Below are 19,628 nucleotides of genomic sequence, written 5' to 3'. Positions count from 1 at the left end.
TTTACAACATCGTGGCAAATGCCCTGACTTACCTTGCCACAGTAATAAAAAGAGATTTGCCCAAATTTATGCTACAATTATTAAAGCAATGTAGAACTGGTGCTAGAAGAGACTGATGAGTGATTCAGAATATAAAATTCTGAAACAGATCCTAAAATAGATAACTGATATATAGAGTATGATGACGATAGCATCATAATCATCAGGAAAAGGAGGCATTGTTTTATAAAAGGTGCTGAGAAGTGAGAATAAACTAATTATTTGGGAAACTGATGTTGAAATATTTTATCCACTCATTCAATATAATAAGAACAGCTAGATCAATGAATTAAACGAGAAGTCCGAAAATCATAAAAAGGGAATAAATGTAATGTCTATATAGGAAAGAGGTTTTTTGTTTGTTTGTTTGATTTTTGAGACGGAGTCTGGCTTTGTCACCCAGGCTGGAGTGCAGTGGCGCGATCTCGGCTCACTGCAACCTCTGCTCACTGCAACCTCTGCCAGCCGGGATCAAGCCATTCTCCTGACTCAGCCTCCCAAGTTGCTGGGCGCTTGCCACCGCACCCAGTTAATTTTTGTATTTTTAGTGGAGACGGGGTTTCACCATGTTGGCCAGACTGCTCTCGAACTCCTGACCTCAGGTGATCCACCTGCCCTGGCCTCCCAAAGTACTGGGATTACAGGCATGAGCCACCGTGCCTGGCCAGAAAGAGTTTTTTAAGCTAATGCAAAGGAAGATGTCACACAAGAAAGCATAATGAAATTGACTACATAAAGATGTTTCCCTCAAATAGAGCAAAGAATTCCCACAAATCAATAAAAAGTGCTAATATTCCAATGAATAAATGGACAAAGAATATTTATTAATAATACAAATAATAAGCTGCTGTAACAAAATTTTTTTTTTAAATATCGTAAAGAGCATAGAAGTTTCTATCTCTGCCATCTAACTATCCCAGGGAGTGCCCCGGGGCCGCTCCTTTCCTCACAGGCAGAAACCTGGATGACTTCCAGATTGTTGCTTCCCCCTACCATAAGGCATTTTCCCCATCTGCATGGTTGAAGATGGGCTGTGGAGAAATCTGCATAGCCAGTGGGAAGAAAATAGACAGTTCCTCTCCTTCATGTGAGATGAAAGTTGCACACATTGTTTTGTTGAGAATTTGGTGACATATGCACACTCAGCAAGGGAGACTGGGAAATGTGTTGGGTCCTGTGGCCACATGTCTGGCTTTGCTGTTCCCATAAAAGGGGAGAACAGCCATCTCTGCCATTCACTTAAAGGAAATACACATTGTCAATAAACTTGGGGAAAATAGAAAGCCTCATTAGGAAACAAAGAAACATGGGGCTGCTTGCAGTGGCTCATTCCTGAAATCCTAGAACTTTAGGAGGCCATGGTGGGAGAACTGCTCAAGCCTAGGAGTTCAAGACCAGCCTCGGCAACTTAGAAAGACCTTGTTTCTAGAAAAAATTTAAAAAGTTAACCAGATATGGTTTTGTGTATCTGTAGTCCCAACTACTTGGGAGGCTGAGGTGGGAGGATTGCTTGAATCCAGGAGTTCGAGGCTGCAGTGAGCTATGATTGTACCACTGCACACCAGCCTGAGTGACAGAGGGAGACCCCACCTAAAAAAAAAAAAAACACACAAATAAATAAAAAAAACCCATGAATTAAAGTTAACATAAGACTTTTCATCCATCAAATAAGCAAAGATTCTTTAAGATCAGAATGCACTGTGCTGATGAGTGGCAGATGTGGCACTGATAGGTTGCCTATGGGGGATGCAGATGTAAATTGGTATAGACTTCCTTGAAAGCGATTTGGCAATATAGCCAAGACCCTTTAAATATTCGCATCTTGGAGTAATAGGCAAACGTATCCACATAAGTGGGTGATATAGAAAATTCAAGACCAGAACACAGTATATATGGGTATTATATTAATAATGCTAACTTTTATTGAAGGTTTACTATGAAGCAGACTCACTGCTGAGTACCCTGCATGTATTACCTAATTTATCCTAGAACTGGGCTTATGAGATACTGTATTATCCCATTTTACAGATGTGGATATAGCTTCAGACAGGTCAAGTCACTTGCATACGATCACAATTCACAGGTGGTTGAATTGTGAGTCAAATCCAGGTCTTCCTGACATCAGAGCTCTAGCTATTTATAAAGATAACATTTTAAATTACCAGGGAAAATGATGGTTTTTAATACACAGTATTAGGAAGACTGGGCTTTCCATTTAGAACAAAATCATCTCTTAGACTGATGATTTATAATCATCTTCAGGTTATGAACCATTTAAAGAATCTGATGAGAGATATTGATCCTCTTCACACATTCTCTCTCTCTCTGCATATAGGCAAGTGTGCGTGTGTGTGTGTGTGTGTGTGTGTCTGTGTGTGTGTGTGTGTGTAGTCTTCCATGCAGTTCTGATGGATTTTGGAGCCAAAAAGCCATGAACTTGAAAATAACCCTAAATGATAAGCTATATTCATATCAACATAAATTTATGGTGGATTAAAACTTTAAATCTAAAATTTAAATATAAATGTCATCTTTGTGTGAATATAGATAAGGTATCCTAATCTCCAGCCTTTGTTTCTTAGTCTGGAAAAAAAACTGGGAGTAATGATATTTGGCACAAAGTTTTGTCATGATTAGACAATCACGAAGATAGCTGGGCGCAGTGGCTCATGCCTGTAATCCCAGCATTTTGGGAGGCCAAGGCTGGCAGATCATGAGGTCAGGAGATCGAGACCACCCTGGCCAACATGGTGAAACCCCATCTCTACTAAACTTACAAAAAATTAGCCGGATGTGGTGGCAGGCACCTGTAGTCCCAGCTACTTGGGAAGCTGAGGCAGGAGAATGGCGCAAACCTGGGCGGTGGAGCTTGCAGTGAGCCGAGATTGTGCCACTGCACTCCAGCCTAGGCTACAGAGTGAGACTCTGTCTCAAAAAAAAAAAAAAAAAAGAAAAAAAGGAAAAGAAAATAAATCATGAAGACTAAATGGGAAAATACACACACAGTATTTCACAGGATCTGGTACATTAAAAAATACTCGGTGAAATTGAATCCTCTCTCTCTCTCTCTTTCTCTTTCTTATTCTCCCCATCTCTGTATATGGTTGACCCTAAAACAATGTGGAGGTTAAGGGTGCCGACCTCCTGCCCAGTGGCTAATTTGCATGTAATTTTTGACTCTTCAAAAACTTAACTACTAATAGCCTACTATTAGTAGTAGTTGACCAGAAGCCTTACAGATAACATAAACTGTCAACTAACATATATTTTGTATCTTATATGTATTATATACTGCATTCTTACAATAAAGTAAGCTAGAAAAAGGAAAATGTTATTAAGAAAATAAGGAAGAGAAAATAGATTTACTTTCATTAAGTGGAAGTGGATCATCATCAAGGTCTTCATCCTGGGTGTCTTCACATTGAGTAGGCTGAGGAGGAGGAGGTGGTCTTGCTATCCAGGGGTGGCAGAAGTGGAAGAAAATCTGTGTATAAGTGAACCAGTGCAGTTAAAACCCTTCAAGAGTCAGCTGTATACACACACACACACACACACACACACCCCTATATATACACACACACATATGTATGTAGATATATTACATACAGATTTTAAGTAGATATATGCATTTGTGAAAAAAGTTTCATAAATTTGGAGGTGTTAATAATTTTCTCATCATGTCACCAAAACAGGCACCTGAAGGGAAAAGATAAATAGATTTAATTAATTTTAAATGTAAAATTTTTATTTCTTAAGAACTTACTACACGAATACATTCACTTTTTCATTCAACAAATATTTATTGAACATCAACTGTCTTCCAAGCACTGTTCTAGATACTGGGGACACCGCTGTCAACCAAACAAACCCAAATCCCTGCCTTTGTGGAGCTGATACTTTGGTGGATGGCTAAGACTCACCTGGAACTTACTGAAATGGGAGTTCCCCGCACCCACCTCGCAGGACATGTGACAGGGGTGTGGCTGTAGGTTTGGCTGCCTGGAGCTCAATCCCCTTACGGGAGGGGATGCATGCAGACAGGCAGGTGCAGGAACCAGGCAAGTGCTTTTGGGCTCCGGCGCCAAGGCAGCATTCAGGGGTGGGTGTCTGCGACTCCCAAAGCCCAAGTCGGTGCATCTTACAGTGCACTCTCTTAGATTTGCCGTCCCCGGGTGGCTTAAGGGTGAACCAGTTCAGTGGACCCTTTGCCTTTTTTGCAGGGACAGGGGGCCAGTGTGATAACTTTCTGTACCCTGAGCTCTGTACAGAGTCCCAGTCACACATGGACTTGAAGGATGAATGTGGGGGTTTTATTGATTGGTGGAGGTGGTTCACAGTGGGATGGAATGGGAGCTGGACAGGGGATGGAGTGGGAAGATGATCTTCCCCTGCAGTTTGGCCGTCCAGCAGCCGATTCTCTGACTGTCCCCAGCCGAACTCCTCCGGATGTTCCTTCTTTTCGCTCCTTCTCTGCCGCGCTGTTCTGCCGTTTGTCTTGTCTTCCTCGTCTGCTTCTGGAGCGTGGGGTTCAGGGTTTATATGGGTACAGGATAGGGGGCATGGTGGGACAAAAGGCAACTTTTTGAGCGCAAAAACAGGAATGCTTGTTCTCACTTAGGGCCGCGGGTATCCAGGCTTGAGGGTAGGGCCTTTGCCAGGGAACCACCCTCTTCTACCCAGTGTTTCCCTGTCTCCTGTCCATATCATTTCCATGAGCACAGCAGGGTTGCTCACTGATTCAACCCTGGAAGAAGCATCTTACTGGTGAGGAAACTGGCGAGGTAACAGTACCCAGGGAAGGGGACGAAGGGCAAATTTTTGTGTTTCGTCTTTCGAGCCTACTGAGGAAGAAATTCTCAAGCACCAGAGCAAGGGCTTAAATGATGGGAAGGGTGGCAGAGAGGATTGTAAGCCAGGGGAGGGGACACAGTGGGAAGTCGGCTAGAGATGCCAAACAGGGCACAAAAGGGACAGGCAGAGCCAATGAGAGGGTGCAGAGCTGATTACCGGGTCCAAGCTGCATGTGCAGGAACAGCCAAGTCCCTGTATGTTGGGGCCAGGTGGAAATCAATTTGCAATGGCTATTTCCCACGTATTATTTCTGGAAGCATGTTTTGGGGCAGTACCGCTGGGATGGAGAAAGGGCTCAGGTCAGGATGATGCCATCCACTCCTGGATCATAAACTTGGATCTCAGAGAGTTTCATGTACTTTGGGGATGTGTAAACTACTTACTTGTTATGGGAATTATGTCTGTAGAAGATGGAAAAAACATTATGTGAGCCTTAATGAGTTTGGTTATATAGGAGTGTGATTTCTATCTCATAAATAATAAACAATCCCCTCAATATGCTAATTCCAACTCTCTTTCAATTACTCATGTTAATCTTGCAAAGAAAATAATCAAGAAAAATATGGAAAATGCCATCTCCCTGTTGGAATGAAACATCTCCTAGATGAGACAGCATCTCTGCTCCAAGGTTTGGAAGCTTATTAGCTGTATCTGACTCATTGGTTCTTCTATGTCGACAATCCCTCCTTCAAAATCTAATCAATGTTAAAATGAAACCTGAATTTAATTGAATAACACATGTCTGTTCTAATAAGATTTGTTGAATTTGAAGTGGAATAAAAGAACCAAGTTTGAAACTAAGAAAAAAACTGAAAAATTATTCCCATCTGCAATAGTCACTTTTTTTTTTTTTTTCGAGATGGAGTTTCACTCTTGTTTCCCAGGTTGGAGTGCAGTGGTGGTATCTCAGCTCACTGCAACCTCTGCCTCCCAGGTTCAAGAGATTCTTCTGCCTCAGCCTCCTGAGTAGCTGGGATTACAGGCGCCTGCCACCACGCCCGGCTAATTTTTTTGTATTATTAGTAGAGACGGGGTTTCATCATGTTGGTCAGGCTGGTCAGTCACATATATTTATTGATATTTTTTACTGTGATATCTTTTAAAAGAAAAACTACCAATGTGTATGGGGAGTAGGTCACCTTTTTCATGTCACATAGAAGGCGATTTAGACAGATGAATAGGAAATCAGTAGGTCCTATGTAACTTTATTTCCCAAGTATTTTACTAGATCTTCTTTTCTTCCTTCCTGATGTTCCTGCCTGAGATAAAATCTAACTCCCATGCATTGCTCTCATGATCAGACTCCCTTCCTCCTTTCCAAACTAGGCCTCAGCCATTGGATTCACTGCGCTCACCCTGGGGTGCGGGCACACTGAATCCTTGTAGTTCCTTGAACAGCATTTGCTCTCATATCCTGTACATCTTTGCACACACTGTGTTTTTCCCCCTGAAATTTTCACCTACCTTCCCCTCCCTGTCTATCTCATAAGCACAGTTAGGAAGATGCTAACTTTGGAGCTGGATGGTCTCTGTTCAAATCCCTGCTTTGTTACTTCCTAGGTATATAAGCTTAGGCAAGTTCATCTATCTGTGTAGGCCTCATTTTTCTTATCTGGAAATGAGGATAATATGAGTATTTAATTTCATGAAGTTGCTATGAGAGTTAAATGAGACAATGCATGTGATTGGCATTATATATAATATGTTCTAAATACTCAATATTGTTTTAGCCATAATTATGGTTACAAGTATTATTACCATTTGCTCATAACAATTCTATTTATCCTCTCCATGTGGCAATCCTCTTTGCTGGGGGTGCAGGGTCAGAGATTCATGGGGAAGGGTTGTTGGTAACAACAATGATCAGTGCCACTGCCTAGTTCCTATGGGTAGCTCAGGAAATCCTAGAGATGTGGAGATAATTTTGGTGATGAGATGGCAGCTGATGACAGGCTCTTCTGTCTTTCACTATGTTTGTTTATAAGACGAAGCCAGAACGTTGGTTCCCATGCTCCTTGGGAGCAATGAACACCAAAGAAGCAATGAATATATGGCACTGAGTGGAATATGTCCGGACTGAGAGTGAGGAACTTGGGTCTCTAGCTTTAACTCTGCCATTAATCAGTTATCTTTGGGCAAGTGACATCAACTCCCTGGGCCCAGATCTTATTTAAAAAACAAAACAAAACAAAAGAGGACTGCATTCTGCCATCTCTAAGTACCTTTCCAACTCTGGCATTCTGGGATTCTACGCTGGGAAACTCACTCTGTATTTGCTGTTTGTAGGCTCATGAAGTATCATGGTGTGTGCCAAGTCAGGACCCTGCTCCATATGGTATATGGAGAGGCCAGGCAGTGCCACAGTATCCAATATCATAACTAGAAATGGGCCTGGAAATTCTGAGGCATATGGTTTCCCTGCCGTGTTTCTGAATCTTATTGCTATGTTTTCTTTTGTTTTGTTTTGAGTATTACTTACTATGTAAGATAGAAAGAGAATCTTTTTCAATGCACATGGTTAAATAAATAAGACCTTTTAAAATCATGCTAATGGGAGATCAATAGCATATTATCCCCTCATAGAAGTTGCTAAAGTCTAACAAAGAGTCTACAGGAGAGTGTCAGTATCTTTGTTATTTAAATCAGTCTCTTTTACTTTTTATCCACCTGGCAGTGCATTCTCGGAAAGGGCAATACAAATGTTTTATTGTGTTGTTTAAGATGCAATGGGCCAAACAAACAAATAACAACAAATGACCTATACGAACATTCCCAACAAGTCATTAAACTACATTTCTTGATGCGTACAGAAGGTTTAGGAAACATAAATTTGCTGTCTGAGATCCCTGATGTACGTCTTGGCTCTAACACAGATGAGCAAGAAGTCAAAAATAGAAACCACTTTGAAGAAACTCTGGGGCCCTAAATGCAAGTCCCCTTGTAAGATGTCTTTATTAACGCAAAAAATCCTCCAAGCTTCCTCCCCTACAGTCATGACAGATGCCTTTGAAAGTCTCCCCACAGTGGCAAGACTTCTGAAAATTTCTTCCTGCACTTTGTGGAGTTTACAAAAACTATGCGAGTAACCTCCACTGCATTTGTCAAGCAAGAAGTAATTGAAAACAGCAGGTAGTTGTGCCTTAGTCACTAAAAGAAGTCTGCCAATTGATGCATGGGGTGCTGAGGCTGGGAGCTCCCATTAGAGCTCCTGGGTGGTATTTAGGTTCAGTAAATCCCCTGTGTGTCTGGGTAACTGGATCCCTAAATCTTGAGACTATTTTCATCCACTAAGAAGAGAATTGGAGTAGTATGGAATCTACTAAAAAAACTTGCTTTGTTTCTAGATATTTATTAAATGAAACATTGTAAGTATGATTTTGAAACGTCTTATGTAGCCATGTACATTGAAAAAACATCCTCTTTCTGTGGTAGGTGGTGAGATTAAAAACAAAACAAAACAAAAGAAAATATAGCAGTAAGATTCAGAAACATGGCAGGGAAACCATATGTCTCAGAATTTCCAGGCCAGTCCTATTTCCAATTACGATATTATACTGTGGTCCCCAAATTCTTATAATGTTCAAGAAATCCTAATAGCATCTAGACAGTATAATTTAGACTGCCTCTTATGTACAAAAAAAGATATACAAAATCCTTGTTCAACCTGATCTGTGTTTCAGAAAATATAAAGTATCTTAACACTATAGTGTTAAGCATCGGATAGTCTCCTAAAGGTGTTGGTCAGAAGAATTGAACCATAACCTGGATGGATCTATTTAAAGATAGATCAGATGAGAGGCAAGAGGTGACTAAAGAAATTAAAATTTAATTCTTAGCAGAAAAGTTGAAAGTCTTTGCCATACTTAATCTACAGTAGAAAATATTAAGATATGTAATAATTTCCACAAGAAATATTATTGACAATGAAACCTGTAATATATATTATTTACTTGACATTTGGTGAGAGTTGGCATACCACACCCAATAATGGATTTGTGCAAATTCATTCACATGCTCTTGAGCTGCATGCTTTGTGTGTCCAGCAGTATGTAAGTGCTCCCACAGTGAATGGAGAGAAGAGCACAAGCAAAGGCATGGAAGCTGGACACACCCTGTGCCTTCTGAGAGCCTCAAGAGTGCTGGCTGGCATTGTCAGGGCATGGCGGGGATAAGAAGCTACAGTAGGAGCTGAGGCTGGAAGGGCTGACAAAGTTCAGATCACGTAGAGACCTCTGCCCTTTGTGACCATCTGTATACCATGAGGTGGTAGCTGAGGGATAGATTCTCTGACTCTGGAACAGATATAGATGTGCTGGCTTCCAGATGCTGCTCACTTCAGCTTTACAGATATATTATATTGGTGGTGAGTCTCCCTTCACATCTAAGTGTAGAAAAGGAATTATGGAATTGACCACCACACAAAAAAATAGGCTAAGTGTTAGGAAGACATTCTTGGCTCGAGCAATAGCAAAATGCAATTTTAAATAAGTTCTTTTTTTTTTTAGAGAGAGTACAATTGTCCATCAAGCAGGAGGATGGAGAAAACAATTTTGTGGATGACTTTCTCACCCTGTGCTGTTATGCTATTTTGAAGCAGAATAATTACAACTGGGAACAAAGTTTGCTTAACAAATGGCAGTTATTGAAACATTGCCTCTTTTTCCGTGGCTTCTTTTGTTGAGAAAGTTCAGCCAGAATCAAACTCAAGAGGGAAGGATCCTGGAAGATATGTGGATCCAAGCACTGATGGAGTTGAAGAACTAATAACATATTATGGGCTTCTGCTAGACTAGAGGGTGTTTGTTTGTTTGTTTGTTTGTTTGTTTGAAACGGAGTCTCCCTCTGTCGCCCAGGCTGGAGTGCAGTGGTGCGATCTCAGCTCACTGCAACCTCCGCCTCCCGGGTTCAAGTGATTCTCCTGCCTCAGCCTCCTGAGATTACAGGGACTACTGGGATTACAGATGCCCACCACTTTGCCCGGCTAATTTTTGTATTTTCAGTAGAGATGGGGTTTAGCCATGTTGGCCCGGCTGGTCTCGAACTCCTGGCCTCAGGTGATCTGTCTGCCTGGGCCTCCCAAAGTGCTGAGATTACAGGCGTGAGCTACCACACCCAGCCTAGACTAGAGTTATTTAAGGAACAAACGCTCCTATGAACCCAGTCCAATAGGAAGATCACGTCTTATTCTGGCTGTGGGCCAACGTTGTAAATATGGTGCTAGAAATGCTTATGAGAGCACATTTCAGTCAACTCCTCATGTCTAACATAAACAACGCTTTAGGCCAAGGTCGCTAACCTTCTCAAATGGGGTATGCATTTTCCTAAAAATACAATATTCAAAGATGTAACTATCATTTGTGATTTTTTTCTTAAAACTAGCTTTTTTCTTTCAGATTTTAGAATAGCTCTCTCCAACGTCTCATTTGTCCCAAAGCCTGTTGCATAATTCTAATGACTTATGACTTTCAGAAGTCTTCCAAGACTTATGACTCAGAGGTGTGCCTGGGGTTGGTGGTGCAGAGTTCTTACTTCCTGTAGGCCGGCACCAAGTGCTCCCGGCAGATCTACCTTTACAAAGAAGCAGATGCCAAAACCTTGCCCCTCTTGCCCCTCGGGCTGTGCCTGATCACTCAGTGCCATCTGGCCACATTGCTGTGGAGGGAATGCTCTTGGTAACTGTTATTGCTGCCTGGTTATGCGTTGGCACTTTACAACAGTACAGGGAGCTGAGCAAAGCAACAAGCCGTCTCAAAAAAACTAATTTCACTAAATCTCCTTACAATACACGTATGAAAACTTTTTAGAGCTTTTTGGAAGGAAAAATAGATTCAAACTTCATTACATGTGTCAGGAAAAAGCAAAAGTGATGCCTATATTGCAGAAAATGAGCTGTGGTCACTGTTTTTTGCCATTTAGGACCTGTGTTACTGATAGAAGAAATGAAAACCCTCTGGACCCAATAAGATGTTGGGTCTTTCCTTTCTGTTCTCTTCTTGCTCCTCTGCCCAGACCCTCTGACATCTTGCCCAAGTTGACAAACACAAATAGGACTGGCCTTCCAGAACCCTCAAAATGGCCACCTCTTCCCACCTCTTCTTGAACTCTCCAAGTTACAAGTCACTGCTCCTTCTCTTGAACTCCAGGATCTCTCTGTCTGAACTTTCTATCTGACTTTAGAATTAGCATTTGTAACTCCTCTTTTAGATAATTTGCTTATTGACGCTGTGGTCTGGACTGTGTTTGATTCATTTGTACTTTCTCAGTTCCCAAGTACTCAGTGAAATACTGGTGAAACAATTTCCCAGGACTGTGACATTCTATTTGTGGGTGCCCTTTAAGTAAACTGTTGGAGAAAAGCAAAAGGAAAAATACATGATCTCACGCAAACAGGGTCCTCACCTGCCAAGAAGCTGTTTTGTGTTCTCTTGTTAGAATAATTTATCTAAGTTTAAGAGCAAGGATTTTTTTTTTTCTCTTGGGCAAAGTATGCACATGGCTGCTGCAGCAACAGCTCAAATAGACCCTGGCTTCCTGCTGAGGGCCAGAGGGGAAGACAGGGAGAGCACGTCTGGAGGAATCACCCAGCTGGGTGCCCAGACATAGCCACCTGCCTCCTGCCCCATGTCGAGGTGATGTGTCACCACACTGGAGACGGCTGATTTGGGTCACACCGCATTGCAGGCCCCAGATTGGAAACTGTAACCAGAAGAGCATGACATTTTAAAATATCAGTAGCACATCGGGTAAATGATTAAACCTCCCAAACAAGGAGTGTTTTTCTCCACGTCTACTCCAACACAGACTCATCTTCAGACCACTTCACATTAAGCAGTAAGTAGAAAAGAACTTGTCATGGGCAAGAAGACAGAATAAAACCTTACAAAGAGAAAGGGAGAGGGGGAAAACGATAATTTAAAAAGGAATTTTAAGGGGATGGCTGGAGCCGATACCCGCCCTTCCACGTTAGACACTCCTCTGACCCCATCAGTCCTCACTTCTTGTTTTCCAAAACCGTGCTTCATGAGAACAAGATTCCTTTTCCATTCATTTTTTTTTTTTTTTTTTTTTTTTTTGTAGAGATAGGATCTCGCTATATTGCCTAGGCTGGTCTCAAACTCCTGGTCTCAAGTGATCCTCCTGCCTCAGTCTCCCAAAGTACTGGGATTACAAGCGTGAGCCATTGGGCCCCGCCTAGATTAGTTTTTATTATAACGTAATTTTTGGTGTGAATTTCACCATTTCCTATGTTCAGAATGTAGTTTCCCCATCTAGGAAGTGGGATAGTAAAAAATTCCTTTTACCAATGTCACAGACGTGGCTCTAGCTCAGTGCAAAAGGGATGTTAACTCTTCCAGGCCTCAGGGTGCCAGTAAGTGAGTTACTTAAGAGTACTTAAGGGCATCCTGACAGCCTGATAGTTTTCCAAAAGAGGTACTGCATTCTCGGGAAAACCCTTCTCATTCCGTTTTAGTTAACAGAAACATTTTTATGGAAAGATCAATTTCACCTTGAGATTTAGAAGAGTGCTCCCTGTGACTACAGAAGGCAGCTCTCCCGGGTATTCATAGGGCCCTTAAGTTAACGTGTTACTTGGGTAGCAAATGAAGCACAATGGCTGAGGTCACAATGTCCTGTTTCCATTAGTTAATTTCCTAGAGGTTCAAAGTAAAGTCATTCGTTAATTGGTGCTCATTAAGTGACCTAAAAGAGTAGGTGCTGCTTCTGCAAAGGTCAACTTAACTCCCACAGTGCAAATTGCACACAGGATAAAATCTGAGGCAAACTGATATCCCCAGTCTTGGAGAAGTGGGAAATACTGTGGACTTGGTATTTTCTGCCTCAGCAGGCTTTACGACAGGTGTTCCGGCACTCAGGAATTCACTAGTGATGTTGTTTAAGCTATTTGAAAGCAAAGTGTTTCTTCCCCCAGTCAGCCTATTGGATGGTGCTCAAGCTGGGTGGTGCTAAGGCAGATTGAACACCCATGTGCAGTATGTTATTGCTGCAACAATTACAACAAACCATTTGTCTGTAAAAGTGCCTTCTGTTGTTATTAGGTCATTAACCTTAACTGTATCAATGTGTTCCCAGTTATGTAACTGTACTAGCAGGTCTGAATATCCCACTATGGAAGAAAATGCTCACACTTCATGCCTCGTTGGTGCCTAAGAAAAGCTCCAATCCTAATAACCCAGTCCCAGTGCTTAGAACTACCCAAGGTGCTATAAAAAGGGTGGAGGGAAAGCTGTAAAACCCACAATCAATAAAACAGAAATTTAACAGGGAACTGCAAACACAGATCTTGCCAGAATAAGCCCCAAAGTTCAATTGCTTTGTTTGAAGACTTAAAAAGCAAAAATAAACCTAAAAATTAAACCAGATGAAACCACCAAACAGGGACCTCAAACACACTCAGTCTTAGTCCATTCCAGTTTCAAATTGGCCATTGTCCCCAGATTACTTTTTCGAAACTTTAACCAAGATCAATGACTGTAAGCCAAGCTCTTAACAAGGGTGCTTTTCTCCTGATTTTGGTTGACACTGTTGCAAAAACAGACAATAATGCTATTTGGCAAATTGGCAACAACATTTAAGAATCAGTTTTAACAAGGAGCAGTCTGGTAAATTGTTAAATACCTCATTACCTAAAATGAGAAGGGAGAAGCCTTGGGTTATAAATGTATCTTTGCCTTCTTGGATAAGGTAACTAGATATTTACAGTTATGGAGCAGGTAGGCAGATTAAATGACAGTGTAATCACATTTTAAGATTATGTAACAATGTAAAGCATTTTGAAGTCAGTGATTCTTTTTTGTTCTTGAACTTTCTATGTTTCAACTTCCTGAAACAGAAAAATAGAGATTGAGGAGGAAAGGCATGCTATTGATCACATGGCCTCTCTGAACTTCGGTGTTTCCAACATAATAAAAAGAGGTAATCCCAAATCTTTTCTAGTCTTTTATTTTTAAAGTTCTCCAAGCATTGTCTTTAAAGGCAATGACAGAAGCAAACAGGCAAATTTTCAAATAAACCAAATCCTTATCCTAAATTCCTTTTTCTCGAATCTAAAGTCACTCATCTGCCTTGATATTTGACTCACAACAGAGGTCCCCACTTGTTGATTTCAGGGTCACTTAAGAATTTTTGAAGGAATATTGCTACAGAAACAGCAGGGGTTTGGTCTGGGTCCTGCTGCTTGCTGCACAGAAAGCCTATGACTGAGACAATGATTTTGCCAAGGAAGAAGGCTTTAATTGGGTGCTGCAGGCAAGAGATGAGAGCTCAGTCTCAAATCCATCTCCCTGAGCAGCTAAACTGAGTGATTTATATAGCAGAGAAGAATGTATCAATGTGTAAGAAAACAAGAACTAGGGAGGGGCAAGGAAGCAGTCATGATGAGTCTGGGGTCTGGCATCTCATTGTCTGGATGTGGTGATGTGGTGAGTTTCAATTCTTTGATACTTTTTTTCTTTCTCTTTTTTTTTTTTTTTGAGAGGACTGAAGACCATTTCCTGAGGAAGGAACTCAGATAAATCAAACATTAAGTTTCAAGCTTTAAGAACATAAGGGTGGATTTCTATGTCTATCAAAAAAAAAAAAACAACATCTATGGGACTATTGGGTCAGTTTCAATATGAGAGGTAAAAAGATATAAGAAGCTATATGAGCTGAGGAGGAGACCTCACCTTAGGAGATAGTGGATTAAAGCAAGGTACCTCTCTCGAAGAGTATTGCAAGTGTTTTAATTTTTTTCCTCTGGAAATACCTCATCAGCTTGATGGCAGAACACGAAAAGTTACTAGAGCTTATACAGAAAAAAAGAAGGGGAGAGGAAAGCTTTTTGGGGAAGATAGCTTTAAGATTGAGGGTTGTTTTTGAAGCCACCCACTGGCTTAATGACAATTGTCAGAAACATATGAAAGAACAGTAAGACTTCTAGCCTAGGGTATTCAGGAAGTTAATAGTTTTGCTTTTTAATCTCATCTCTCCCAGCGAGATGAGAAGTGTAGTTCCAGACCAGGAAACCTAGTCAGAACAGAGCTGTTTGATTCTGAGATGAACAGAATCTATGTTGTTATCTCCACCTTTTATCTTCATCACAATACATTTGACCCTTGAACAAGTTGGGGGTTATAGACAACAGCCCACCACACCTCCCACAATAGAAAGTCCACATATAAATTTTGAATCCCCCAAAATTTAAGTACTAATAGCCTACTGTTGACTGGAAGCTTTATCGATAACATAAATAGTCAGTTAACACATATTTTGTATGATATATGTATTACATACTACATTCTTTTTTTTTTTTTTTTTTTTTTTTTGAGATGGAGTCTCCCTGTATTGCCCAGGCTGGAGTGCAGTGGCACCATCTCAGCTCACTGCAAGCTCTGCCTCCTGGGTTCACGCCATTTTCCTGCCTCAGCCTCCCAAGTAGCTGGGACTACAGGTGCGTGCCACCACACTCGGCTAATTTTTGTATTTTTAGTAGAGACACGGTTTCACCATGTTAGCCAGGATGGTTTCGATCTCCTGACCTCGTGATCCACCAGCCTAGGCCTCCCAAAGTGCTGGGATTACAGCTGTGAGCCACTGCGCCCGGCCACATACTACATTCTTATAATAAAGTAAGTTAGAGAAAAGAAAATCATAAGGAAGAGAAAACATATTTAATATTCATTGAGAGTAAGTAGATCATTATTAAGGTCTTCATCTTCATTGTCTTCACATTGAGTAGGCTGAGGAAGAGGAAGAAGGATGGGTTGGTCTTGTGGTCTCAGGGGTGACAGAGATGGAAGAAAGTCTGCATATAGGTGAGCCCGTATAGTTTAAGCCCTTGTTGTCCAAGAGTCAACTGTATATTATCTTATTTCTTCTTAAACTTCTCTTTATCTCTATTTTAATTCTTGATGCTATATGTTTAGTTTTTCTCTCCTTTTGTTAATAAATCTTTAAAACTTAAGAATGTTATATTTTTAACATAGTAATGGAAAGATAATTTTTTCGTATATAAAAAATTAGAAAGTTATTCTTTTGTGATAATCCTTGATTTTCTTGCTAACCAACATATACAATGATACTCCTTGACTGTAGTCTCCATTGATCTAAATCTGATTTGTAGAGGGAACTGGATAGAGAAGAGTTCTAGAATTTCTGCACACTTTCTTTGGCAGCTGGCTGGGATAGCAAATAGTAGGGTAAAGAAGGTAAAGAAACAGGTATGTCAGACTTAAGCCAACAGAGCCAGTAGGGCCAAATGCCCATTTATAGGTGAAGACCCAGCTGTCACGAAGTTTCCAACTGCTCCATTGCACAATGATGGTATGGATAACAGTGTGTGTTTCTCATACATTTAAATGTATTCAAGTTAAAGAATTGTTTTTTGTAAATACCTATCATGTTAAAATGTCCTTCCATTTATGAACCAATGATAGTAGATGATTTTTATTCTTCCATGTGATTTTAGGATAAAGAAATTGGGCAATCCAATGTTAGTTGCCAGAATTATCATGTGAAATCTTACTCTTCTAGAATCTAAAATATTAGAAGCACTGCGATAGTGAGATATGGGGAGTAACATAGCCAGAGACAGGGAGTAACATAGCCAGATATGGGGAGAGTAACATAGCCAGATATGGGGAGAGTAACATAGCCAGATATGGGAGAGTAACATAGCCAGGTATGGGGGAGTAACATAGCCAGAGATGAAGAGTAACATAGCCAAATATAGAGAGTAACATAGCCAGAGATGGGGAATAACAAAGCCAGATATGGCAGGAGTCACATAACTACATATGGGGGAGTAACATAGCCAGGTATAAGGAAACTAACATAGCCAAAGATAGGAAATAACATAGCCAGATATGAGGAAAGTAACATAGCCATATATGAGGGGAGTAACACAGCCAAATATATTGGGAATAACAACCAGAGACAGGGGGTAACATAGCCAGATATGGGGAAAGGAACATAGCCATGTATGGGGGAGTAACATAGCGAGATAGGGGGAGAGTAACATAATCACATATGGGGGAGTAACAAAGCCAGGTATAGGGAAAGTAACATAGCTATAGACTGGGGTTAACATAGCCAGATATAGGGGGAATAACATAGTCAGATACACAGAAAGTAACATAGCCAACGACAGAGATTAACATAGCCAGAGATGGGGAGTAACATAGCCAGATATGGGGGTAGGAACATAATCACTTATGGGCAAGTAACATAGCCAGACACAGAGAAAGTAAAATAGTCAGTGATGGGGAATAACATAGCCAGAGACGGGAAGAAACAGCCAGATATGAGGGGAGTAACGCAGTCAGATATAAGGAAAGTAACATAGCCAGAGATGGGGAGTAACATAGCCAAATATCAAGGGAGTAACATAGCGAGAGATTGAGAGTAATGTAGCAAGATATGGAGAGTGTAATATAGCCACATATAGGAAAGTAACATAGCCAGAGAAGGGAAGTAAGATAGCCAGATATGAGGGGAGAAACATAGCCAAATATACAGAGAGTAACATAGCCAGATATAGAGGGAGTCACATAACCACATATGGGAGACTGACATAGCCAAATATATGGAAATTAACAGAGCCAGAGATGGGGGAGAAACATAGCCAGTAATGAGGAAAGCAACATAGCCATATATGATGGGAGTAACATAGCCAAATACAGAGGAAGTAAAATAAGCAGAGATGAAGCGTAACATAGCCAGATGTAGGGAGAGTATCATAGCCACATATGGAAAAGTAGCATAGCCAGAGATGGGGAGTAACACAGCCAGATATGGGGAGAGTAACATAGCCACATATGGAGGAGTAACATAGCCACATTTGGATAAGTTACATGGCCAGATACCGGGAGAGTAACATAACCATATATGGGAGGAGTAACATAGCTATAGTAGCCAGATTTAGGGGGAGTAATGTAGCCAGACATAGGAAAAGTAACATAGCCAGAGAAAGGGAGTAACACAGCGAGATATGAGAAGACTAACATAGCCATATATGGGGGAGTAACATAGCTATGTAAGAGGGGAGTAACCTTGCCAGATATGGGGAGAGTAACAGCCACATATGGGAAAGTAGCATAGCCATATACGAGGGGAGTAAAAGCACCAGATATGGGGAGTGTAACATAGGCATGCATGAAAAAGTAACATAGCTGGATATGAGGGGAGTAACATAGCCAGATATGGGGAGAGTAATATAGCCACATATGGGGGAGTAACATAGCCAGATATAGGTAAACCAACATGCTAGGGATGGAGAGTAACATAGCCAGATAAGAGGGGAGTAACATAGCTACATACAGAGGGAGTAACATAGCCAGAGATTGGGAGTAAAACAGCCAGAGATGGGGAGAGTAGCACAGCCACATATTGGGGAGTAAAATAGCTAGATATGAGGGGAGTAACATAGCCAGAAATGGGGAGAGTAACATAGCCTCATATGAAGGAGTAACAGAGCCACGTATGAAGGAGTAACATAGACATACATGAGGGGAGTTACATAGCCAGATATGGGGAGACTAACATAGTCACATACGGGGGAGTAACATAGCCAGAGATGGGAAGTAACTCAGCCAGACATGGTAAGAGTGACATAGCCTCATATGGGGGAGTAACATAGCCATATATGAGGGGAGTAACATACACAGATATGAGGGGAATAAAATAGCCAGATATGGAGAGGGTAACACAGTCACATATGGGTGGGTAACATAGCCAGCTATGGGGAGAGTAACATAACCACATATGGGGGAGTAACATAGCCAGATATAGGGAAAGTAACATAGCTAGAAATGGAGAGTAACATAGCCAGATAAGAAAGGAGTAACATAGCCAAGTATAGAGGAAGTAACATAGCCAGAGATTGGGAGTAACATAGCCAGAGAGAGGGAGGGTAACATAGCTATATATGGGGGAATTACATAGCTGGATATGAGGGGAGTAACACAGCTAGAGATGGGGAATAACATAACCAGATATAGGTGGAGAACATAGATATGGGGGGAGTAACATAGCCAGATATAGGTGAAGTAACATAGCCACATATGGGCTAGTAACATAGCCAGATATGGGGATACTAACATAGCCACATGTGGGACAATAACATAGAGATGGTGAGTAACTTTGCCAGATATGTGGAGAGTGCAGTCGCTTCATGTGGGAGCGTAGCATAGCCAGATAAGAGGGGAATAACATAGCCACATGTGGGGGAGTAACATAGCTAGATATGAGGGGAGTAACATAGCCAGATATGGGGAGTGTAACATAGCCACATATGGGGAACTATCATAGCCAGAAATGAGGGGTTTAACAGCCAAACACAGGGAGAGTAACAGGGCCACATATTGGGGGAGTAACATAGTCAGATATGAAGGGAATAACATAGCCAGAGATGGGGAGAGCAACATAGGCTCGTATAGGAGAGTAACATAACCAGATATGAAGAGAATAACATAGCCAGAGATGGGGAGAGCAAAATAGGCTCTTATAGGAGAGTAACATAGCCAGATATGAAGGGAATAACATAGCCAGATATGGGGAGAGTAACACAACATCATATGTGGGAGTAACATAGCCATATGGAGAGCAGTAACCTAGCCAGATAGGAGGAGAATAATAGAACCAATTATAGAGGGAGTAACATGGCCAGAGATTGGTAAGTAACATATCCAGATATGGGGAGAATAATATAGCCACATATGGGGGAGTTACATAGCCAGATA

General features: G+C 41.2%; 1 long non-coding RNA gene across 1 annotated transcript in view; it reads right to left on the bottom strand.

Moving 5' to 3' along the window:
- Positions 1-15,544: 15,544 nt before the first annotated feature.
- Positions 15,545-19,628, bottom strand: part of LOC107983960 (uncharacterized) — a 28,789-nt gene continuing 24,705 nt past the window's right edge. Inside the window, exon 5 of the long non-coding RNA XR_949277.1 lies at positions 15,545-15,629. This is a non-coding gene — a long non-coding RNA (uncharacterized LOC107983960). The remainder of the gene's footprint in view (positions 15,630-19,628) is intronic.

The sequence above is a fragment of the Homo sapiens genome, chromosome 1, assembly GCF_000001405.40.
Source record: "Homo sapiens chromosome 1, GRCh38.p14 Primary Assembly".
Lineage (NCBI taxonomy): Eukaryota > Metazoa > Chordata > Mammalia > Primates > Hominidae > Homo > Homo sapiens.
The sequence above is the reverse complement of the archived record's forward strand: the minus strand, read 5'-3'. Positions and strand labels throughout refer to the sequence as shown.